The following is a 25,435-nucleotide window of genomic DNA, read 5'->3' as shown; positions in this document are numbered from 1 at the left end:
TCAGCACCAAATACATTTCAGAATCAAGTTCTCTTCAACCAGTGTTATCTCATTTGTAATAGAACAAAGAACCACTAGACGGAGCTAGGGTTTAAGAAATCACTGTTCTAGACTAGGTAACAGGCGATGGGTAGAAGGCTATCTTAAGGAAAAAGTGTATCATTACTTGCATTTCAAATCCTATGACAGTCTTATCCAACTCTCTGCTAACAGCAATCTGTTTACTTTGTCTCTACACAAGACGAGATAAAGGGTGATATTCGTAATGGCCCAATTTATTTAGTCACTCCAATAATGACGTCTGACCTTGGCACAGCACTTTACAATTTAAGGTGCTGTCCCCATACATAATTCTTGCTTGATCTTCACAGCAACTCTGAGAGATTTCTGGGCAAGAATTAGTTCTTCTGTTTTTGAAATTAATTAACTGAGACAGGATGTCTTTGCAATACATTAGGATATGTCAGGATGGCTAACCCAGACAATTAATTTTCAGGGTTAGTTTTTTTTTCTCTTACATTTTTGTGTTGACTGTTGACTCAGTCTGAAACTAGTAAACTCTCCATTCATTTCTCCTGTGGGACATAGGCTTAGTCTCCCACCGCACCGACTGGGGATACATAGTAAAAAGGCAGGTACAGACTATGTGTGGGTCGAAATCCCCCAAAATAAGTGAACAAACGACCGTTGTCTTAGCCCCTGTCCAGAAACCTTGGGTGTATGTGGTTCTTCCGTATACCAGGGGTCAGCTGTAAAAACTAACTGTATCCTCTGCACTACAGACTACCCTTCAAGCCAAAGCCACGGTTGCTTAATTAATGCTGCCCCTCTCCTGAGCATTCGCCCTTAGAGACAAGTCCACCCCTTTGATGTTTGTCAGGCAGTTTGATACTGATCATACCAAACATCAGGAGCCTGCATTTGTGTCTACGGTAAAAACAACCCAAGACAACTCTTCTGAAGCTGAATCTGCCAGTCACTCTAAATCTGCACTATTGCAATACGACTTCATTAATTACTGCTCAAACACTGGCCTAGAATCAAGGTGGGGCAACTTTCACTAGTCAGGCTAACCTTACAGGAAGGCAAGAAGGTGTTCCCAGAGCCTCACAGGTCCCGGGGGCCCCGGCCTGAAACAGAGCAAAGGAAGAGAGTTACATCAGCACGCTCCCCTAAGACTTGTTGGGGGTGAATCCGCCCTGAAAGCTGCTCACAATGCCCTCCTCTCCACCCAGCCCATGGCACATCCTGAACACATTTCCCGGCTGAACCCAGAGGGTGGCGCTGCCGTCCCAGCCTTGGTCCACGGCCGCCCGCCACTTCCCTGCCTCTGCGGGAGCCCCCCAGCTTGGTCTCCCGCAGGCCGGCGGTGGGGCACGAGCCCGGTAGGGGGCGCCGCCGGCCCAGGCGCCGCTGCTCCCTCCGCCCACCCGGAGGCGGCTGCCGCTAGCCGAGGCCGGCGCGAGTGCACTGCGAGGCGGGCCGCAGGGAGGGAGGCGCGAAGAGGGCGCGAGGGTAGCAGCCAGAGGGAGCCGCCAGCCCTGCCTGCGGATCCCCGCCGGGCGCATGGGGCGCTTCGAGCCGGGACTGCGTGCGGGCCCCGAGGCCAGTTTCCTGCTGTCGTAAGAAGCCGCGCCAGGACGCCCGCCGGACCCCGAGCTGCTGGGAGGATGACCATGGCTGGGGGCAGGAGGGGACTAGTGGCCCCTCAAAACACGTTTCTGGAGAATATTGTTCGGCGGTCCAATGGTAAGAGGTGCATTCGGATTTCGATTACCCGGGCGTTTTATCCGTGCCTTTATTGCAGAACCTCTCGCCGCTCGGAGCCAGCAGATGCAGCAGAACCCGCGAGCTCTGCTAAGGAGCCGCGGCGCGGGCACCCAGGGCAGCCTCCCCGAGGCAGAGAAAGGTGGGCAGGGCGGGGCGGGGTCTGATGGGTCCCCATCCTAACAGGAGAGCTCTTCTGGGGACGCCTTTTGGGCCTTTCTAGCGCCCTCTCGGTCTTATCTCCAAGGATGCGTGACAGCTGCTGAGCAAAGTACTGGGAAAAGTGATGGAAAGCTGGCTGCAGCCGGAGCGGCAGCGCGCGCCCCATCGGCACTGCCCACCCTTCCGCGAAGGCTCTGGGGCTCCCGGGCTGCTCCCAGAGGCGCCGCCTCTCCCCAGGGAGAGCCAGCAGTAGAGACGGGCAACTCCAGGTCCCCGCTGCCTCAGAATGGGAGGATCCGGCTGCCTCCACCTTCCATCCCTGCAACTGAAAAGTCCGAGGTGTCGGGACGTGCTCTCGGCGGCCTGATTCCACCCCTTCACCCACCCACCACTTTCTAGGTGAAGTTAAGGCTCACCTTCGAAGTGAGGGGCAGATGGTTTTCCTGGCGTCAGGTGGGAAGTGGAGGGCACAGGTGCAGAGCGAACTAAATGGTCACAGGTACAAACCTGTTATATTTCCCCTCTTCCAAACCCACAACGGTTTTATGCCACCCTTAAGTGTTGCTCACCTATAAATTCCCAATCTCACCAAACCTATAAATAGATCCATTACCCAATAAACTGACAATCAGCACTCATCTGTTTCCTTGTGGCATTAAGATCGACGGTAGCATGAAGCCTTGAGAGGCGAGAGTCCTAGGAGCGGGGATGGAAAGGAAGAATTCCAAACGCCTTTCGGACTTAACAGAGGAGAGACCCCAACTAAGCACTTGCAGAGCGACTAGGAGTCCTGGCAGTTGGAAGGCGCAGCGCACGAGTTCATCAAATGGCTATATTGAAAGATAGCCAAGCATAAGATGCTCTTTGCAGACTCCTAGAGCCCCCACCCCACCCCTTCCAGAAACAGATGACATTCTTCTACCAGGGAGACATGAGGAGCTAACTTAGGAAATGGGTTTTAATAATGTGTAAATATCACGATTTCAGAGTCTAAGGAGCTTCTGTGTAAAATGATGAGCTTCTGTTTGGATTTAGTTAGGGATTCAGGGGAAGGGCATGAAAAGTGACTTATGCTACTAATAAACACTCTTTAATTAAACAGTGATTTAAGTTTATCTTATAATGAAACACATCAACTAGCATAGCAAATAATCACGTATTATTTAAGTACTTTCTTAGAAATGATCATTTCTTTATTGTGTGCCTCTTAAGAGTGTTTCTGGTCAGTCACCTTTCCTTTCAAGGTCTTCCTTATTCAAACTAAGGTGGCTTTTAGGTCAAGGTCACAGTCATTACCTGGGGATGCAAGGGGATGATAATTGCTATGTGAACAGCCACAATGAACTGTTTTGCCATAAAAAAGCTGGAGTTGTTCATTTATTTTTAAATAAAATAAGAGTTACTGTGCTATTATTGCTATTTTTATTGGACTATTAAGGGGTATGGAGACAATCTTGCAAATTTGGTTATCCCATTGTCAGTGACACCAACTTTCTCATAAATATCAATGACAATTCTATTTTTCAGTAAAGAGGCAGTGCCCTGTAAGTTAGAGGGGAAACCCAGTACCTAATGTATACTGTGTATGTTTTTGAGTGGAGGGAGCAGGAAGAGAAACTTACATGTAAAAGTCACAAGATGCCTTGGGTTTTAAGGGAACCTTAAGAATCTTGGAGCTGTGAAGGCAGAATACTGTCTATTTTAGTTGATCTTATTAGAGCCACTTTCCCTCTGTAATCATAGAATGTGAATAGAATAAGTCACTGGGAATATTTTTAGGATGGGCATTGTCATTTCAACACCAGTTTCAGCAGGTTGATTTCAATTAACCAATCAAATGAATAGCATCAAAAAAAATGAAGCATCTTGGGAGAGTTGGATGAATTTTTAAAATTATTATTTCAGAATAAATGGTTCTCATCTTGAAATATGGGACTCAATGTTTAAAAGGTGATCCCTTTTATAATATTTCCTGAACACAAATGGAAGAAAAAATGTGAACTCCTAGAAATATCACAATATCTGCATGCATTATATTATTTTACTGTGGTGGAAAAAGTCTATTTAAAGATATTGATTGTCTCATTCTAAAATCCATGAGCCCTTTTTTGGACATTACGGTATTAAAATAGCATTTTACCTTTGAATAGCAATATTTTATGATCATTTTATTAGATATTTTCTCCCAGTGGTCCTGTGCAGTATTAATGTTCCTCTTTTACAGATCAGAAAACTGAGTCCTAGGAATATTAAGTGGCTTATTCAAAGTGGCAGAGCAAACAATGCCTGAGGCTGGTATTCCTTAGAGGACATCTATCATATATCCTTCTCTCAGCATTATAATTTCTCCAGCTTTTATGACTTAGTCTGTGGAACTATTTTTATCATCCTTTAAAAACTTCTCATATGATAATGAATAATAGTACTGACTTCATTTTGGGTTATTTGAATATCTGATGCCCGGAATATCATAGAGCTGTGGGAAGAGACAGACCTTAAATATTATCTAGTCTGCCTCTCCTTCCCCATCATTGTATAAATAAGGAAATTGATGCAAGAGGCTTTCCTCAAATATTTAAGGGCAGAACTAATGAGGCCCCAAACCATTTGAGTCCAATGTCAGATTCTTTATGGTACACCATGCAAAAACCCTTTCCTCATGTTACCATTATATTCTCTCAAGAAGCATAATTTCCCAGTGGAGATTAAATAAAATGTTATAACAACAAGAACAACATCCATCTTGGCTAACAGCCACACTACCACATCTCAACAGAATAATAGGGCAAAGGAAAGGCTAATTATATTTCAAGGAAATGCAGTCTGTTCACCTTTGTCAGTGGTTTAGCTGAAGGCAAAGGCGGGGATAATGGGCACTTAACATCTGTGTGCCCCATTATAAAGTACCAAGTCACTTTTCACAGAGTATCACCTTTGATCCTCATAAGCTAGTAGAGGAGGTGCAGTCTCTCCATTTTAGAGTTTAAGGAACTAAAATCCTTAAACTAAAACTCACCTAAGAATCCTCAGGTTAAGTGATTTACCTACAATTCGTAAGAGGCAGAATTAGGAAAAGGCAATTAGAGACAGATCAGGGACTAGCCAGCAGTTGTTTTTGGTTTATTCATTCAACAAAGATTTATTGAATGTATTTATGGAACACTGAGGATACAGTGGTAAACAAGAAACCCTCCTTGTGATTAGTAAATTACATTCTAGTGAATCTTGGTCCAAGGTTCTTGCCCCTATTTTACAGTGTTGACCGGCTGCGACTGTTTAGGCCTGTCACTGTATTTAAAAAACATTTCTAAGGTGTTTACTGGTCTTGCTGGTACTAAAACCGACTTTTAACTTTCTTTGGTACATTTTGAATCCCATTTAAGGAAAGATTTGATAATTATCTGTTCTTTAAATTGCCGTAAGTAGGCAGCAGAAATAATTAATACTCCATATTTTATTTGATTTTGCTTATGGTCATGTCAGTGATCATTTTAAATCCTACTGGCTTTGTTGCCACATAGGCAAAACCAGCCTGTTTCTCTTTATATTCATGGTTGGAAACTGTTGTTACAGAATATTTTTTGATAGTTGCTTAAATCTGCAGGCACTTGTTGTCAGAATGTTTGCTGAAGCAAATAGGAGATCTGTCTTAGAAAGGCTGGCAGACCTTGGTGCCAGGAAACTACAAAAATATTACTCTAAATGGTCCCATTCTGGGCAGAACATATGTTTTAGTGTTCGGGAACCTATATCAAACAATTGTAGGTGCCAGTAAAAATCCATGCACATTAGCAGGAGTGAAACACAGCACATTTTGGTACAGATTTATGTACATGTATAATTTACAGATTGCTAAATCAGCTGTGTTTTTGTATAGTGTTAAGTTGGTTCAGGTTGTTGATATAATTAGTTAGCAAACAGGATGAGAACCACGAGTAATGTTGTGTCTCCTCATGGGTGTTTTGAGCCATGGTAATATTTATAAAACAGAAAACTGGTTAAAATCCATTGTGCCTCTACAAGGGGGAATGGATGATAATCTGGATTATTACCAGCTCAGCAGAGCTTGTTTTTTCTTGTAAAATATTCTAAGACAATCTTCAGCCAAGGCTCAGCTATCTTTCTCTGAAAGTGTCAAAAAGTTAAATCTGTTGGCTGATGTTAGATGGGGGATTGAGAAGCTGAAGCCTTGTCATTTAATGTTAAGGAAATAAAGCTTCCAAATTCCATGACTTTTATGCAACCCATTTATTTTAGTAATCTATCTTAAAAGAATAGATGTGTTTGAGGAACACTGTGGGTCAACTGAATCCTTGGCTTCATTGTTTCCGATGCCAGCTCTGCATATATGGTTGGACCTCATTTGGGAGTGGTTCCTTGAGCATTACCTTGAAGCTCTTCAATTCTTCCCTTCCCTTTATTTTTGATTAGTTAATGGCTTGTAAACAAACATTTTAAAATCTACTAGAGTATCTGCTTTATACACTTAGGATATTTGGACCATACTTTTCTTGTTTTTTATTTTTTCTGTTTCTCTAAGTGGCCACACCTGTAACTGTTGAGAAAGAGAAATAGAATCACAGAATCTTAGTTCTGGGGGGACATGCTATACAATTCATTTTCCACTGTTCCACTGAATCCTCTCCAGAACCTCCCTCCTGATGGTTCTCCAGCCTGTGTTTGACTAGCTTCAGTGATGGGACCCTCACTTTCTCGTGAGGAATATTCTATTTGTAAGCAAGTATAATTGTGTTTCTTTTGCCGCCTTTCCTTGTTTTTCTCTTCTTCTCTTCTCTCTGCCTCTTCCTCCTCCCTTTGTTGCTGTCATTTGGTCTTACCAAAATCTGTCTTCTTATAGCTACCACTTATTTGCAGTCTGCTCCGTGGAACAAAACTGACTTAGCCCATTGTTTTTTCCAGCTGCAAACCTTTAAAAAACTTTTGATAAGTTTTGCATTGTATTCTTCTCCCCTTTTAACCTTTTTAATTGTTCAGTACGACAAATAGAAAAGCACACAAAACAATTTTGTACAGCTTAACATATTTCTATAAAGTGATACTGTATGCCATCGCCACCTGTGTCAAGAAATAGAGTCTTGCCAGACCTCTAGAAGCCCCCAAAGCCTTCCTGATCCTAAGTCCCTCACTCTCCTCCTAAAGGGTGACATCTCCTGATTTTATGGTGATCACTTTCTTGCTTTTCCTCATAATTTTACCAGTTTGTTTTGCATTCCTAAAAAAACCCACTATAGTTAATAAATACTACTGTTTATTTTTATCTGTTTTGGAGCTTTATATGCATGAGATCATATAGCATATATTCTTTTGTCGGGTGGCAATTCCTCTATGTTGTTGCATGTACTGCTTCATTTTCTTTACCTCTTTCTTTTTTTTTTTTTTTTTTGAGACAGAATCTCACTTTGTCGCTGGAGTGCAGTGGCGCGATCTCGGCTCACTGCAACCTCCGCCTCCCGGGTTCAAGCAATTCTCCTGCCTCAGCCTCCTGAGTAGCTGGGATTACAGGTGTGCACCACCATGCCTGGCTAATTTTTGTATTTTTAGTAGATACAGGGTTTCACCATGTTGGTCAGGCTGGTCTTGAACTCCTGACCTTGTGATCCGCCCGCCTTGGCCTTCCAAAGTGTTGAGATTACAGGCACGAGCCACCACGCCTGGCCTGTTGATGCATTTTCACTGCTGCATCGTGCTTTATAGTATGACTGTACCACACATTGTGTCCGATCTGCCACTGATGGATTGTTTCCAGTTTTGTGCTATTAATGCTGCTACAAACATTTTTAGTATGTCTTTTGGAGCATGTGGGCACACATTTCTCTTGGGTGTATACCTAGGATGCACATGTTTAACTGTGGTAGATGCTGTCAAACAGTTTTCCAAAGGTTTTATATTAATATACACTCCCACCAGCCGTGTGTGAGCGTTTCTATCACTGCAGCACATCCTTGCCAGCATTTGGTATTTTCTTCTTTTGTCTTTAGTAGTGATGTTGCCCAAACAATCTAGTACCTAATAAAACAGGGTCATTGAGAGTTATGTTAATAGGAGCACATGACCAAAATTAAATGAAAACAAAACTTGCTCTTGCCCTTTGGGAGGCATCAGTATCCACTGTGGGTTGAAGTATTCTCTCTGAGGAGCTCCCTCACACACGATTGTAAATGATGCGAAAGACTTGTACAGTTTGAATTATGTGCAAAGGGTACATGCAAGTGTGGTGGGATTTTTTTTTTTTTTTTTTTTGGTGTGTGTGTGTTTAGGATATTCATTTTCTTAATTTGAGAAGCAGTAAACCCTGGGGACAGAGATTATGCAAGAATTAGAGCTGGAAGGGAGAAGGAACTAGGAAGTGAATGATTTATATTTGTTTCACTGAAATGAAAACAAAATGACTGAAGGAAAGGCACAGATTTAGTGGAGGAATCAAAACTCAATGGAAAATTAAAACAAAAAGCAAAGGCTAGCTTACGGTTCAGTTTTATAAGCACGATGGACTTCCTATGTGCCCAATACTGTGCTAACAAGTAGGAATACCAAAATGAGTACAGCTTTTGTGATGCTGGGTCTAACAGAGGAATCTATGACGGAGGCCAACATGCTTTGTAAACCTCTCCAAAGATTTAAGGGATGTTATACTGATTCAACACTTACTACATATTTTTCCTTTATAAACACCTCACCCAAAATTATTCTTAGATTTTATAGCTATTTTTTTTTGTGAGGTTGGGTGTGGGATAACCAGATCCCGTAAGTGAATTAAAAGAAGATTGCAGAATGTGTGACATTTTGTTCTGATGCAGTTGAGGTTTCTTTAAACAAACCACATTCCTCTGGGATATCCCATTGCTCTGTCTTCTTTGGCATGCTGTCTTGGGTTGCTCATCCATTGGTGTGAGTTTTTAGCACATCCTAGATACTGGAATTTGCCTGATGCTCTGGCTGTTCTCTAGGCAAGTGCAGTCTTTTTTTTTTTTTTTTTTTGAGATATTATAGGATCTCACTCTGTCACCCAGGCTGGATTGGAGTGGTGCGATGTCAGCTCACTGCAGCTTCTGCCTCCCAGGCTCAAGTAATCCTTCCATCCTCCCACCTCAGCCTCCCGAGTAGCTGGGACTACAGGCATGTGCCACCACACCCAGCTAATTTTTTTTTTTTTTTGGAGACAGAGTCTCGCTCTGTCACCCAGGCTGGAATGCAGTGGCGCAATCTCGGCTCACTGCAAGCTTCGCCTCCCGGGTTCAGGCCATTCTCCTGCCTCAGCCTCCCGAGTAGCTGGGACTACAGGAGCCCGCCACCATGCCCGGCTAATTTTTTGTATTTTTAGTAGAGATAGGGCTTCACTGTGTTAGCCAGGATGGTCTTGATCTCCTGATCTTGTGATCCGCCCGCCTCAGGCCTCCCAAAGTGCTGGGATTACAGGCGTGAGCTACCACCGGCCCCATACACAGCTAATTTTTGTATTTTTTTGTAGTGATGGGGTTTTGCCATGTTGTCCAGAGGGGTCTTGAACTCCTGGGCTCAAGTGATCCACCTGCCTCAGCTACCCAAAGTGCTGGGATTACAGGCGTGAGCCACTGCGCCCTGCTGCAAGTGTGGTCTTGCTGAACAGATCACAGTCTGGCCAACTTCAGCATCTCCCTTGATTCTCACAGTTTCTGCTCTAACAGTGAAACACTCCTGTTAATGACAAAACTACTTAAAATTCTCCTGATTAGGTATTACAGAGTTATGCCAATAGTCAATTTGCTTACTCATACTGATTGTTCATTATGTAAAGTAAAATGACAACTCTTTTGATCAGTCCTATGTTGCATGAAACTGATGTTCTGAAATTAACTGAGTCAATCCTATAATTATTAATGTAATTATTAATTGAGAGTGACTAAAAACCATCATTTCCCATAGCCTTTTAAATGTTCTGCAATCACATCAGGTGCTTCTATAAAGAAGAGAAACGGCCTTCCATCTCCTTTTTCTTCCCTTAAAGCAACGATGTAGACATCCTCCACTGGCATTCTCAGAGTGCTGGAGTCAGCATTTGAAAGTTGATACCGTATTGGCAAATTTTACTGATAATTATCTATGGCTTAACTTTGATTTGTATTAAGAGTGAAGTTGGAAAATGTGTTTTAGGCTAGAACTTCAGGGCCATGTAAAGAAAATGGAGTTAATTTGAGTGATAAGACTATATTTATTTCCATTAAATTGATATTTAAGTTTTTATTTTATTTGCTTTCTTTTCCTCTCAGCATTATGGGGACTGCATATATTAGACTTCTATGCCATCATCATTAAGGCTGTGCTTTAAGCCTCTGTGTGGGCCAAGGTACTGAATAGTTTCTGTTTGCCTCCCTAGAACCACACTCTTCCTTACCAGCCTGTCTCTTGTTGGAGGCTGGGAGGCTGACCTGTATAGAGTACACCTGTAGGCTCCCTTGCTTTCTGGCTTTTGGCTGCCTTCAGCTTGTGGGGTACACCACACGAAATGGGAAGCAAGAGAGAGGTTGTAGTCCTTATTCTTGTTGTTCTTTCCTGCGAGGTCATCTTAGCCTAGCTGTTTTCCCCTGATTAAAGGTTATGTCTCTAGCTTGCTCTCTTTGGGTTTGGGTAGGGTTAGAGACTTAAAGCTTCCAGCTGTTACTAACCCTGGGGTACTGCACAATGTCTTGGGGTTTTCCTAAGTGGTGTGCTGGAGCAGGCTGCAATTGGCTGGTTCTACCTCTTAAGATCTGATTATGTGCATCTGTTCCTTATTCTTGGTTCAGGAACTTCACTTTGGAAGCTTGAAAACTGCTTATACCAAGGTGCAAGGTATTTACACCTTAGAAATTGGCCAGTGTTATAAATCGGGACTCTTTTCTTCCCAGAGTTAGCTTGCTAACACACTACTGCCTATACCTCTCCCACACCTTTGTAAATAGTTCCTTTATTAAACATTCCTCAAATTACCCATTGAGTATGTCATATTTTGCTGCCAAGACCCTGGCTGAGAGAGCCAATTACTTGTTCTTTGGATAAAGTGGTCTCTCTCTCTCTCTCTTTCTTTCTTTCTTTTGACCGAGTCTTGCTCTGTCGCCAGGCTGGAGTGCAGTGGCGCGATCTCGGCTTGCGATTTCCCTGGCTTAGCCTTCTGAGCAGCTGGGACTACAGGCACCCGCCACCACGCCCAGCTAATTTTTCATATTTTAGTAGAGACGGGGTTTCACTGTGTTGGCCAGGATGGTCTTAATCTCCTGATCTTGTGATCTGCCCGCCTCGGCCTCCCAAAGTGCTGGGATTATAGGCATGAGCCAAAAGTGGTTTCTTAACATTTTGTGCAGACCATTCAGTCATGGGGGTGAATTTGGTGAGGGGATGTGCACTTAGGTACTCCTTTCAACACACAAAAACACCTGTGTTCTGTCTGAAGCAGGCAGTATGTGCCTGCCCTTGCTTTTCAGTTCAGTGAGTTGGTTACCTACAAGCTCGATAAAATACTTTCATGTTCCATTTCCATCTTTTTTCATCATTCAAGAATGAGGAAATAAGTGTGTATACTGCATTTGCTATTTTGAAATGATAGCTGATACTTTTTAAATGAAAAAGAGCTCCTAAATTCTAGTCACTCTCCTGTCAGATGAAATTCTCCTTTATGCTTTCCCACCTGGCTGGAACACTCCGGGACAGTGCTCCAGCCTGACTTCATTGAGTGGCCACTTTCCTCATCTTCTCTTCATTTAAAATGTCTCCTCCCCTCCAGCTTCCCAATCCCTACCTCTCACGTGTCCCTAGTAACACCATATTTCCGGGTTTCCTGGTTTTCTTCTTCTCTTTTTGTATCTCCCTCTGGCCTTTGGTCTCATTCTCTCCCCTCAGTCTCTCATGTCCTCTCCTCTCCTGGTCTTTCACTCCCGCGGCTCACTCTCTCAGTCTTGCTATTATTGGTCTCTTGCTCTCGGCTCATGCTTTTGTACTCTGTGGGCCTGGCCTTTGCCCCATGCCCTATGTCCCTTCATTCCCTCGCTCTCTCCTCTCCTTTCTCCATCTGTCTGTCTTCCTGCCTGTCTCTGTCACTGTCTACCTTTAGTCTGTGTCACCGTCTGTCACCGTCTTCCATCTGTCTTCATCACTGTCTCTGTTTTTGCTGTCTCTGCCACTGTCCATGTCTCTTTGCTGTCTGTCTCTGCTGTCTCTGCCTCCACCTATCCATATCTGCCCATCTGCCTGTCTTTCTGTCCAGTTCTCCCTTCAAATGGCCTCATAGATGCTCCCCTGTGTATCTGAGCTCCCTGTTTCTCTCTCAAGACCAGTTTTCTCCATTTACTCACCTTAGAAACAAGGTGGTCAAAGATACCTGCTCAACTCTACAGATCTCTCAGCTTTAGTGTCTGAGTTTTGTTCTGGGGAGAGAATCTTATTGGCCCAGCCCTGACTATTGGTTGTTTGGCCAGCGGTCCACTCCAGGCCTAGTTTTCTGTGACTGGGGCCTGGGTGGAGGGGGTAGGACATGGAGTTTTGTGATATGTAGAGTGGGGCAGATAAAGCCATATAGGGAAACTGGGCATAGCTTAAAAATGGACAAGTGTGTCCCCTACACTCCTGCCATGCCTGGGACAGAGTAGATACTCAAATATTTGTTGTATTAAACAAAGCTGTTCTGAGATTCCTCCCATTCACTCTGGTGCTATACCCTGTCCAAGTCTTTTTTGTTTTTAATGTTTCTGTTTTTTTCTTTATTTCTTCTAAAAAAAAAAGGATACATATGCAGAACGTGCAGGTTTGTTACATACATATACATGTGTCATGGTGGTTTGCTGCACCTATCGACCCATTCTGTAAGCTCTCTCCCTTCTACCCCCACCCCCAACAGGACCTGGTGTGTGTTGTTCCCCTCTCTGTGTCCATGTGTTCTCATTGTTCAACTCCCACTTATGAGTGAGAACATGCAGTGTTTGGTCTTCTGTCCCCAGGTTAGTTTTCTGAGGATGATAGCTTCCAGCTTCATCCATGTCCCTGCAAAGGACATGATCTCATTCCTTTTTATGGCTGGATAGTATTCCATGGTGTATATGTACCACATTTTCTTTATCCAGTCTATCATTGATGGGCATTTGGGTTGGTTCCACATCTTTGCTATTGTAAATAGTGCTGCAATAAACATGCATGTGCATGTGTCTTTATAGTAGAATGGCTTATATTCCTTTGGGCATATACCCAGTAATGGAATTGCTGGGTCAAATAGTATTTCTGGTTCTAGATCCTTGAGGAATCGCCACACTGTCTTCCACAATGGTTGAACTAGTTTACATTCCCAACAACAGTGTAAAAGCGTTCCTATTTCTCCACAGCCTGGCCAGCATCTATTTTTTCTTGACTATTTAGTAACCACCATTCTGACTGGTATGAGATAGTGTCTCATTGTGGTTTTGATTTGCATTTCTCTGATGATCGGTGATGTTGAGTTTTTTTCATATGTTTGTTGGCTACATAAATGTCTTATTTTGAGAAGTGTCTGTTCATATCCTTTGTCCACTTTTCGATGGTTTTTTTTTTTGAGACGGAGTCTCACTGTCGCCCAGGCTGGAGTGCAGTGGCATGATCTTGGCTCACTGCAAGCCCCGCCTCCCAGGTTCACGCCATTCTCCTGCCTCTGCCTCCCGAGTAGCTGGGACTGCAAGTGCCCGCCACCGTGTCCAGCTAATTTTTTTGTATTTTTTTAGTAGAGACGGGGTTTCACCGTGTTAGCCAGGATGGTCTCGATCTCCTGACCTCGTGATCCGCCCACCTGGGTCTCCCAAAGTGCTGGGATTACAGGCGTGAGCTACCACGCCTGGCCGGGGTTGTTTGTTTTTCTCTTGTAAATATGTTTAATTTCCTTGTAAATTCTGGATATTAGACCTTTGTCAAATGACTAGATTGCAAAAATTTTCTCCCATTCTGTAGGCTATCTATTCACTCTGATGATAGTTTCTTTTGCTGTGCAGAAGCTCTTTAGTTTAATCAGATCCCATTTGTCAATTTTGGCTTTTGTTGCAATTGCTTTTGGCGTTTTTGTCATGAAGTCTTTGCCCATGCCCATGTCCTGAATGGTATTGCCTAGGTTTTCTTCTAGGGTTTTTATGGTTTTGGGTTTTACATTTAAGTCTTGAGTTACATCTTGAGTTAATTTTTGTATAAGGTGTAAGGAAGGGGTCTGGTTTCAGTTTTCTGCATATGGCTAGCCAGTTTTCCCAGCACCATTTACTGAATAGGAGATCCTTTCCTCATTGCTTGTTTTTTTCAGGTTTGTTGAAGAGCAGATGGTTGTAGATGTGTGGTTTTATTTCTGAGGTCTCTGTTCTGCTCCATTGGTCTATATGTCTGTTTTGGTACCAGTACCATGCTGTTTTGGTTATTATAGCCTCGTAGTGTAGTTTGAAGTCAGGTAGTGTGATGCCTCCAGTTTTGTTCTTTTTGCTTAGGATTGTCTTGGCTATATAGGGTCTTCTTTGATTCTACATGAAATTTAAAATAGTGTTTTCTAATTCTGTGAATAATGTCAATGGTAGTTTGATGAGAATAGCATTGAATCTATAAATTACTTTGGGCAGTATGGCCATTTTCATGATATTGATTCTTGTTATCCATGAGGATGGAATTTTTTTCCATTTGTTTGTGTCCTCTCTTATTTCCCTGAGCAGTAGTTTGTTCTCCTTGAAGAGGTCCTTCACATCCCTTGTTAGCTGTATTCCTAGGTATTTTATTCAGTTTGCAGTGATTGTGAATGGGAGTTCGTTCATGATTTGGCTTTCTGCTTGCCTATTGTTGGTGTAAAGGAATGCTTGTGATTTTTGCACATAGATTTTGTATCCTGAGACTTTGCTTAAGTTGCTAATCAATTCAAGAAGTTTTTGGGCTGAGATGATGGTGTTTTCTAAACATAAAATCATGTCGTCTGCAAACAGAGACAACTTGACTTCCTTGAAATAACACAGTAGACAAATGTAAAGCCAACTTACCAAAAAACCCCTCTTTTTCTAGTACTCATTAATATTTTTGTATTGCTTATTTTGAGTCACTTTTTTTGAGTTCTGAGAATGATATTTTTTGTGTTATTCAATTATGGTCTAAGACTTTTTGTTCAAATTGTCTATAATATATATAGATGTGCATTAAGAAATTATTAAGACTGTAAAAATGAGAATAAAATCTATTGAATCAGGCCAGGCATGGTGGCTAACACCTGTAATCCCAGCATTTTGGGAGGCTGAGGCAGGTGGATCAGCTGAGGTCAGGAGTTTGAGACCAGCCTGGCCAACATGGTGAAATCCCGTCTCTACTAAAAATATAAAAATTAGTTGGGCATGGTGGCATACACCTGTAACTCCAGCTAGTAAGGAGGCTGAAGCAGGAGAATTGCTTGAACCCAGGAGACAGAGGTTGCAGTGAGCCGAGATTGCACCATTGCACTCCATGCTGGGGGACAAGAGCAAAACCCTGTCTCAAAAAAAAAAAAAAAATGTATATATATAATCAATCAATTCAATGGATTGATTAATCTATTGAAACATTTTTAAACAATTGATTACACAAATATTTCTTAGCAGTAATTCAAGATATCACTGATCTCTTATTTCTTAAGTAAAATATCATTCAGTAATAAAAGTCTCTATATTTCAACACATTTTCATTCTCTTCCATACTTCTTGTGAAACTGGTTCATCTGTTTTTATTGTTTTAAAATTAATTTGATGCTGAATGAAGATGGAGGTCATGCTTTTGAAATCATGTACTTAGGGGTAACTACCCAGTAAATGAGGTATTTGAGTTTGCTTTTGAAATTGAAATCTCTCTCTCCATTGTAATTTACTGACTTAATAAAAAATGTATTTCTGTAGGATATTAAGATCAGACAGAGCAAATAACTATTGAATCTCTTGAGAGTTCCGTTTGTTTTCTGCAAAGATTAGGCCTTTGGCAATTTAGAAGAGTCATTTTCATGAGACTTTATTGTTGAAAATCACAATAGAGCCACAAGATGACTTTTGCTGATGTTAAGATTTTAGATGTTTTATTTGGGTATATCATACTGATTTAATTTCTTGTTTCTCATTCCATCCTCTCCATTCTCCTAAATAACCTTGATCTGTCTTTTTTTTTTGAAGTAATTTCTGGTATGGATTTTATTTAGGTTCAGGTAAATCAAACTATTGTTTTCTGGTCTTTGTCTAGTGAAAATACACAGCACTTATTCTCATCATTTATCTCAATCATTATCTTTCAATTCTTTAATTATTCTAAAAGAAGGAAAGTATACTTTTACTCAAACTTGCTTTTTTTAAAACTTTTTTGAGATGGAGTGTCCCTCTGTCACCCAGGCTGGAGTGTGGTGGCACGATCTTGGCTCACTGCAAGCTCTGCCTCCTGGGTTCACACCATTCTCCTGCCTCAGCCTCCTGAGTAGCTGGGACTACAGATGCCCGCCACCATGCCCGGCTAATTTTTTGTATTTTTAGTAGAGATGGAGTTTCACCATGTTAGCCAGAATGGTCTCCATCACCTGACCTCGTGATCTGCCTGCCTCGGCCTCCCAAAGTGCTGGGATTACAGGCATGAGCCACCGCGCCCGGCCTCAAACTTGCTTTTTGTAAGAGTACTGATATCCTTAGAAATCTATAATTCTATTTCCAAAATGTCAGGAAGACATGTGCTCTTCTAAGTAAAATATCTCAAGTTATTAGACGTGTATTGTGAAATACTTACTGTAGCCCTCCAAATAACCAGTGTTGGCAGGGAACAGTACACTTGTGTGAACTGCGAGCTGAATGTAGCTTTTATCTGCGTAATTGCCAAACTGAGTCACTTTTCTAAGTCATTGCTTCAGTTAGTTTTTCCTTTGTTATTTGTCGTAATTTTGATGAAAAGCAATTTTTAATAATTTCTCTTGAGAATATCTCTGTGTTATGCTTTATGGGCAAATGGCAGACTTGGAATGATTTTGACACTTCTGACTACTGCAGTGTAGTTTGGCTCATGCCTCATCAGTTGGAGAAACTTTACACAGTAGGGGGAGGAAGGGAGTCTTTTAAATTTTTAGAGAATGTTTGTTTTATGCTATGAACCAGAGGAAAACTATGTGGGCTGAGGAAGGCTGAATTTAGGAAACCTTACACTTAATTGCACACACTCTTGCAGCTATAGACCCTTAGGGGGTAAAAAAGCATCAGAAGGCGGCAGTAGAATCTGGCTAATTTGCATCAAAGACTTGGGACGCAGGGGAACTTTCAGATGAGAGCCAATGAATAAATCATGGCAAGGGCAGCCAGGTTGAACCTACACATTTTACTGAACAATGTAGGAAGGACTTGATAAGTTCAGAAAATACAAATTTGGAGGCAGGTTTGATGCTTCAGAATGGGTTATTGGCTGATTGGAAGTTACATATTCTACTTGTAAAAGATACATATATACACATACGTGTGTGGTATGTGTGTGCATCAATAGCATATTTGTTTTCAAAGACACATTTAGGCATTTTCCCCATATATAAATGGACCCACCAATATGTGATTTATTTCTATTGTTGACTCATTTGACAACATGGCACATTTTAATATTAATACTGCACATCACATCATATCCCAAATCCAAACAATTCCATTGAGCAAAAGCCTGATACAACATGGTTCACCTGGAATTAGGGTATTACATTTAGAGGGTGTTTCTGCTGTTTTTGAAATGACCCAGGCTGCACAGAGTCCAGCATTTAGAGAAGTGATATTTCATGGTCATGACCGGTTTGATTACTCCATATGGATGCATGGCTTGCAGGTTGTGGGGCATCATCTGATTTGTTCTTTGTTATACATCTGATTACTTAGACAGTCATATTTTATTGCTGCCAGAAGCATGGAGATTTAGTTGACCCTGTCCCCCACCAGATCCACAGAGCTGAAGTGACTTACCTACAGCTCATTAGGGACAACACTGTGACTAGAATTCAACTTGTTATCATCCCCTTTCTTCTCACAAATGGTGCTCTGGGAAGCCTAGGGATTGCTGGGGAAGGGGAAGAGTAGATTAATAGAGTATCTTTTACCCCTCATTCTTCTATTGGTTTTCATTGTTGACTAGATTCCTCAGTTCTTCTCCATGTAATCTCAGGACCTCTTTCTCTCTAGGCTGGCTCTGGTTGCACAGTCTCCTTATGGCCTCTCCTGTAGCATGGCCGGACTTTTCACATGGAAGCTCAGGGCTCCCAAGAACACAGGAGCAGAAGTCACCAGATCTTAAGGCTTACACCTGCAATGGGCACAGCACCAAGTCTACTGCATTCTGTTGGTTGAAGCAAATCATAGGCCACCCAGATGCAAGGGGGAGAGAGCTACACAAGGCGTGAATGCAAGGAGGCAGGGCTTATTGGGGGCTACCAATATAATCTTAACTGGTTATAATGAGGCTTTGACTGTATTACCTAACATAGAGTAGGAGACCTGAGATGTGTAAGTGTCTGGTCTTCTCCACATACACACAAAAGAAAGACAGTGAAAAGAGCTTACACAGCATCAGCAGTGTTCTAAAAGTGGCCATATTGCCTCTTCCTCTGAAGGTATTCATAAAGGGTCTCACCAGTGTGATTCAGCAGTGCTAGGAATCAAGAAAGTGGGTGACCTCTCAATACCCTTGGAATCTTGGAGGTTTGATTCTTATTAATGTGCTGGAGCCCATTTTACTCTCATTCCCTTCAGATTTTTACTCAATGGAAGACTGAAGGAGCCAAATGAGGGTCAAAATACGGAATCAGCTCCATTACTATTATATTGGATTAGAGAAGATAGTGGTGCCATTTGTTTCCCTTCTCAAGCTTATACCCTGGCTTCTAGACCATGAGTTACTGACCTACTCCTAGGCTAAGAAGCTGAAGTTGAGCACAGGTCTGGCAGGGCCTGTCACAAGTATTATAGGTTCTGAGTACCACAAGGAGACAAGTTGCTCAAACCCTCTCTTTCCCCACCAGGCTGGGGCATAGGCAAGTATGACAGACCAAGACAAACAGAGTGATTCCTCTTGCTCTTGATGTAGCTACCAACAGTTTGGTCCGTCTGATTATGAAGGTAAAAGTGATGGGGATGAAAAGGGGGACAAAAGAATTCACCCCAATACTTCTTCTATCTAGGGGTGGGTGGACACTCCTTTCTCTCAGTGGAAACCCCAGGTGTGGAAAGGTAAGTATTGCCTGCATAAAAACTCTTTATCAAAATAGAGCTTTGAAATGGTGCTCACTCCTACCAAACTCAGAGTACTACTAGGACTGTGAGGGCATTGAAAATTTGCAAGTTGTGGCTCTGCTGATTCCATTAAAGACTACTGCAGAAGTTATATTGTTAAGAGCCTTGGCTTTGGTGTTTGTGGTAGTTAATTTTATCAGTGGGCCATGGCGTGCCCAGATATTTAGTCTAACATTATTCTCAGTGTTTCTGAGAGGGTGTTTTTGAATGAGTTTAGCATTCCATATAAATTTTAGGATATTTTTTCTATTTATGTGAAAAATGTCATTGATTCGTTTGTTTTTATAGAGACAGGGTCTTGCTCTGTTGCCCAGGCTGGATTGCAGTGGCATGCTCATAGCTCACTGCAGCCTTGACCTCTTTTGCTCAAGTGATCCTCCCACCTCAGCCTCCCGAGTATCTGGGACTATGGGCACATGCCATTGTGCCCGGCTAATTTTTAAAAAGTTTTTATTGGAGACAAGCTAACTTTGGTGCCCAGGCTGGTCTCAAACTCCTGAGCTCAAGCAATTCTCCCACCTTGGCCTCTTAAAGTGTTGGGATTACACATGTGAGCCACCATGCCTGGCTGAAATGTCCTTGGAATTCTGATAAGGATTGCATTTAATCTGTAGATCACTTTGGGTAGTGTATTAGTCAGGGTTCTCTAGAAGGACAGGACTAATAGGATGTGTATGTGTGTGTGTGTGTGTATATATATATATACATATATATATATATAGGGGAGTTTATTAAGTATTAACTTACACAATCACAAGGACCCACAATAGCCTGTCTGCAAGCTGAGGAGCAAGGAGAGCCAGTCCGAGTCCCAAAACTGAAGAACTTGGAGACCGATGTTTGAGGGCAGGAAGCATCCAGCACAGGAGAAAGATGTAGTCTGGAAGGCTAGAGCAGTCTTGCCTTTTTACGTTTTTCTGCCTGCTTTATATTTGCTGGAAGCTGATTAGATGGTGCCCACCAGATTAAGGGTGGGTCTGCCTTCCCCAGCCCACTGACTCAAATGTTAATCTCCTTTGGCAACACCCTCACAGACATACCAAGGATTAATACTTTGCATCCTTAAATCCAATCAATTTGACACTCAGTATTAACCATCACAGGTAGTCTGAACATGTTAACGATATTAATTCTTGCTAGGTGCGGTGACTCATGCCTGTAATCCCAGCACTTTGGGAGGCCAAGGCCGGTGGATCACTTGATGTTAGGAGTTCGAGAACTGCCTCACCAACATGGTGAATCCTCGTCTCTACTAAAAGTACAAAAATTAGCTGGTCATGGTGGTGTGTGTCTATAGTCCTAGCTACTCAGGAGGCTGAGGCAGGAGAATTGCTTGAATCCGGGAGGCGGAGGTTGAAACCGGGATGCAGAGGTTGCAGTGAGCCGAGATTGCACCACTGCACTCTAGCCTGGGCAACAGAGCAAGACCCTGTCTCAAAAAAAACAAAAAACAAAAAACAAACAAACAAAAAACCAACTCCCACACCCCCCAAAAAAAGAATTATTAATTCTTCCAGTACATGAACATGGGATATATTTCCATTTATTTATGTAGGAGATTATATATTATTTGATATTTTGTCCAAGCAGTGGGTTACTTTGCTAATTATGTTTTGCTTAGCTTAAAATTAGGTTTCTGTTTACTGAGTGCAAAAAATAGTAAATAATCCCAGAGTCATTTATGTTTGGATGTAGAACGCCCATCTGTGTGCATTTGGCTAGAAACTCTGTGTCGCGTCACTTTAGCTCTCTTATTTGGCATTCTCAACCATGGGGAATATGGCCAACCACCTGGGGGAATTAAGAAACCTTGGCTAAGCAAAGTTGCTGTCATAGTGTCCTCGTACTGGAATTTATGTACTTTATTCAGGAGATTCCCATTTTCTCAGCCTGTTTATTCTTATGGCAGACGTACTTCTAGAGGCACGCTGGCAAATTTACTCAGACATACATAGGCTTATTTCTTTATTTTATTTAACAGATCTAATCTTCCCCTTTGCCATTCCCTCCCATCTTACTGAATAGCAAAGGGAATGTGGTTGAGGGGACTATAAAGTGGTATCTCGAGCTCTTCCAGTTTAAATAGTCTTTTGGGTAACTCAGTCTCTTCTGGGTGGGTTCAGATTGCACTTCTACCCACCTCATTGCTTCTAAGATGGTGTGTGGGGTGGAAACAAGTGGCCCTTGCATAGTATCTGGAGCCTCAGAGCCCTGGATGGAGAGCCCTATTTTTCCCCTCTTGTTCCTTGGGTCTCTGGCAATGGTCCCTGCTCTGCTGGTCACTGGGTGCTCAGCTGATATGTGGGGCTCCAGTCCACAGCTGGCGAACTTATGTTCCATTCTCTTGGATTGAATGAAACTTGGTACCTCTGCCCCAATCCAACACACATATTCTCTCTTTCTCTGTGTGTGTGTGTATGTGTGTGTGTGTGTGTGTGTGTGTGTGTGAGAGAGAGAGAGAGAGAGAGACAGAGAGAGAGAGAGAGACTTGATCTAATGTAGGCTATTACTGGCCTCCAGCTCATGTCTGATATTTGCCTGACTCACCGTCCTCCCCTGAACACCCCCACCCACCCCAGTTGATCCTAGGATTGGGTAGGTTGACATATAGCCCTTGGCTATAAGGTCAGCTCACTCCACTGTGATAACCATCTGCTTATTCAACTTCAGCAGCCACGGGCAGTTGGGGACTTCTGGATTCTTTCCAGACTCCATGGGAACTGAGGGAGGCTCAGGAGTGCTAACATGGCCAAGTTTCCTGTGCAGCTGATTTGGGTCACCCAGTGTGGTATTCTTCCTCACCCCTGAGTGTCAAATGGGGAGCCAGGCACAAAGTTTACCCTCTTCTCCCCTGTTCCTTCTCCTCTTCCATTGTATGGGAGCAGGACTGTTATAGAAATTGGCCAGCACACTAAGTTTTAAGAAGTAAAAGATGGTAGTCTTCAAGGAAGAGACCAAACATTGAAAAGATAGACAGGAGAACCCAAGCATTTAGAAGTGGGACAATGACTTCTACTCACATCAAAATTTCCAGAGGGCATCATTGTATATCAGAAGGCAGAATAACAATGTATGACTACAATAACGGTATTCATAGAAATGGTCTGATTTTAGCACCCAATGGCATAAGCAGACCATGTAATATAATGATTAAAAGCATAAATTTTGAAGTCACATAGACCTAGGTTCAAATCCCAACTTTACCCTGGTATAAATGGTTATTGTGCATCCTCAGAGACTCAGGTTCCTCATGAGTAAAATGATGAAATCCCTGAGACTTCCTTCAGTAAAGTAATAATTCTTCACAAAGATTCATGTAAAGGTTGAAAAAAACCATGATATATGGTAAAGTACTTAAAACAGTACCTGGTAAAGAGTAATTATCAATAAATGGTACCCATTATTATTAATATCTAAAATCTCACTTATGTGGAATCCCTTAATTCCTAATGATATATGTGGTGTTATGGTATTTATATGGGTAGCCCCTAACTTATAAACAGATTGTGTTCTGGAAGGTAATTTACAGGTCGATTATTTGTGGTTTAAAATAGAAGAGAACGTGCGTGCTAGGAATGGGGAAGGGATGGGGGAAGAATTTCTATACTGTTGGAGGCAGACGGCTTTGTGGCTGGGACTAGAAATCTTTCTTCCATTCTCTCTAACTCCTTGGGTAAAGAGGGAATTCCTAGACCTTCTATCATGGAGTGACAAGGGAATCTTGCTCCCTAGAGCTATAATTGCTTGCTTGGGTTAGTAGTGAGAGGAAACTATTTTGGAACTTTAAATTCTATGGTGAGAATCTTCTGAGTGGGTGATAGGCTGATGATTCTATTCCTACTGCACTTCCTATTTTTCTGTTTCCCTTACTAAAGTCAGAGAAGATGCTAGTGGGCTTGTTTTTTTTTTTTTTTTTTTTTTATTTATTTAATAAAAAGTAAACTTTAATGTCGAAAATGCAAACTTGGGGAGGGCAGAAAGATCACACACAAGGCTGTCACTTCATACTTGGAGAGTTGCACAGCGGCGGGGCAGAGGAGCTCCTTGCTTCCCAGACGGTGGGGCGGCCAAGCAGAGGCACTCCTCGCTTCCCAGACCCGGGCCCCGGGGGAGGGGTGGAGGGGTGGAGGGGGGTGGGCGGTGGGGGATGGGGCAGAGGAGCTCCTCACTTCCCAGACAGTGCAGCGGCCAGGTTAGGGGCTCCTCACTTCCCAGACGGGGCGGAGGCAGGCCAGAGATGCTCCTCACTTCCCAGACGGTGCAGTGGCGGGGCAGAGGCGCTCCAACTTCCCAGACGGTGAGGTGGCTGGGCAGAGGCGCTCCTCACTTCCCAGACAGTACAGCGGCCAGGCAGAGGGGCACCTCACTTCCTAGATGGTGCAGTAGCCAGGCAGAGGCGCTCCTCACTTCCCAGATGGTGGGCAGCCAAGCAGAGGTGCTCCTCACTTCCCAGACAGTGCAGTGGCCAGGCAGAGGGGCACCTCACTTCCTAGACGGTGCAGTAGCCAGGCAGAGGCACTCCTCACTTCCCAGATGGTGGGCAGCCAAGCAGAGGTGCTCCTCACTTCCCAGACAGTACAGCGGCCAGGCAGAGGGGCACCTCACTTCCTAGACGGTGCAGTAGCCAGGCAGAGGCACTCCTCACTTCCCAGATGGTGGGCAGCCAAGCAGAGGCGCTCCTCACTTCCCAGACTGGGGTTGGGTGGGGTGGGGGAGGGCGGGCAGAGGCGTTCTTCACTTCCCAGACAGTGCAGCGGCCAGGTTAGGGGCTCCTCACTTCCCAGACGGGGCGGGGGCCGGGCAGAGGCGCTCCAACTTCCCAGACAGTGAGGTGGCTGGGCAGAGGCGCTCCTCACTTCCCAGACGGGGCGGGGGGCCGGGCAGAGGTGCTCCTCACTTACCAGCAGTTTGGCGGCCAAGGAGAGGCCGTTCTCACTTCCCAGACGATGGGCGGCCGGGCAGAGGGGCTCCTCACTTCCCAGACGGTGGCAAAGGGTGGGGGCCGGGCAGAAGCGCTCCTGACTTCCCAGACCATGCGGTGGCCGGGCAGAGGTGCTCCTCACTTCCCAGACGGTGGGGGGGCCGGGCAGAGGCGCTCCTGACTTCCCAGACGGTGGGACCGCTGGGCAGAGGCGGTGGGTTTGGTTTTTCTTAGATGGGGCTGTAATATGCACACCAGGGACTGAGGGTATGCTTACGAAAGGATAAACCACTTTAAAAGGTTATCAGAACATTTTTGTGAGCACTTGCAGTGATATCTGGAGCTTGAAATCTATCTTGCTCTCATTTTTCAGTAAGTAAAAAATTTAATCAATAAATTAATCTTTTATGATTAAATTAATTAAAATTAAGTACATAGTTATTTTTATCAAAGTCAGTAAGTTCATGTTTACAAAAATCAAGCAGAAGAGCTTGTAATGTAATGTAAATAACCATTCTATGCCTTGTCCCTCCTCCCATCCTACTCACCAGAGGCCATGGCTTCTAATTTTAGCTTTCTTCTTATAGTTTCTGCCATGTCTCTAAATAACATGCATTAGAGCTATTTATAGATTTATCCATTCTGGATATTATCTGTTGACTTCTGTTAATTAGTTGAGGTTTTAGCTCACTTAATCTTACTCCCTACCCCTCCTCCTAATATAATTATATTACTCTCTTATTTATCTTTGCAACTTTAAGTAAAATATTTATACCATTTTTTAAATCAGCTGTACACACTATCTCTTATTTGCTTCATCATTGTTCTCTTTGCTCTCCCTAAACTTTTATCACCTGTATTTTTAGCATCAGAATCAATGAGATTACATTCAGATACTTATGATAATTAAATATTCCATCCTTTATTATGTATTGGTTTTAAAATTCAAAATTAATAAGGTGCTTACCTTATTCCTACAATGATGTGACCATGAGATTTTGGTTTTTGTTTTCCTTTGATGTTTCTAATTCCCTTTCCTGCCATACCTTTATTGATAATGTTGTTCTAAATGATCAAGAATATAATCAAATCCTAACCTCCTTTACCCCCAGATAATTCTCTTTTGGAACTTCTAGTCTCTGAATTGTTCAGTATTGAATACTGTCTACTAGCTCTCTTCCTTGCTTTCTACATTTGGAGCTATTTTTTCCTGGTTTCCATGTTGTCCTCCTTTTTGCTTTATTCCCTCATTTTGCTGGTACACATCCTCAAGTAACTGCCAAAGAAAGAATATGTGGTAAATAATTTCCCCTAATCTTTG

General features: G+C 42.9%; 1 protein-coding gene and 1 long non-coding RNA gene across 4 annotated transcripts in view, besides 3 other annotated features; both read left to right on the top strand.

Annotated features, from left to right (window-relative positions):
* Nucleotides 1,287–1,566: a silencer, noted in NCBI's record as "silent region_1781". NCBI's record gives its function as "represses an Ori minimal core promoter by ATAC-STARR-seq in GM12878 lymphoblastoid cells {active_cell/tissue: GM12878}" and the evidence as "EXISTENCE:reporter gene assay evidence [ECO:0000049][PMID:35858748]".
* Nucleotides 1,468–25,435, top strand: part of KCNH1 (potassium voltage-gated channel subfamily H member 1) — a 455,835-nt gene continuing 431,867 nt past the window's right edge. For all 3 annotated transcript variants that reach the window (XM_047419823.1, NM_002238.4, NM_172362.3), the window contains exon 1: nucleotides 1,468–1,749. In XM_047419823.1, the coding sequence (XP_047275779.1) occupies nucleotides 1,671–1,749 (79 nt within the window). In that variant the 5' untranslated portion in view covers nucleotides 1,468–1,670. The remainder of the gene's footprint in view (nucleotides 1,750–25,435) is intronic.
* Nucleotides 2,061–2,251: a silencer, noted in NCBI's record as "fragment chr1:211306707-211306897 (GRCh37/hg19 assembly coordinates)". NCBI's record gives its function as "represses an EF-1alpha promoter that drives an FKBP-Casp9 reporter gene in an ReSE screen in phorbol 12-myristate 13-acetate-treated (for megakaryocytic differentiation) K562 erythroleukemia cells {active_cell/tissue: K562(+PMA)}" and the evidence as "EXISTENCE:reporter gene assay evidence [ECO:0000049][PMID:32094911]".
* KCNH1-IT1 (KCNH1 intronic transcript 1) lies at nucleotides 2,242–3,337 on the top strand. Its single transcript, NR_046784.1, has 2 exons — nucleotides 2,242–2,428; nucleotides 2,590–3,337. It is a non-coding gene; the product is annotated as a KCNH1 intronic transcript 1 (long non-coding RNA).
* Nucleotides 3,478–3,678: a silencer, noted in NCBI's record as "peak681 fragment used in MPRA reporter construct". NCBI's record gives its function as "represses an SCP1 promoter by STARR-seq MPRAs in K562 erythroleukemia cells {active_cell/tissue: K562}" and the evidence as "EXISTENCE:reporter gene assay evidence [ECO:0000049][PMID:32103011]".

Source organism: Homo sapiens, chromosome 1, assembly GCF_000001405.40.
Source record: "Homo sapiens chromosome 1, GRCh38.p14 Primary Assembly".
NCBI lineage: Eukaryota > Metazoa > Chordata > Mammalia > Primates > Hominidae > Homo > Homo sapiens.
The sequence above is the reverse complement of the archived record's forward strand: the minus strand, read 5'-3'. Positions and strand labels throughout refer to the sequence as shown.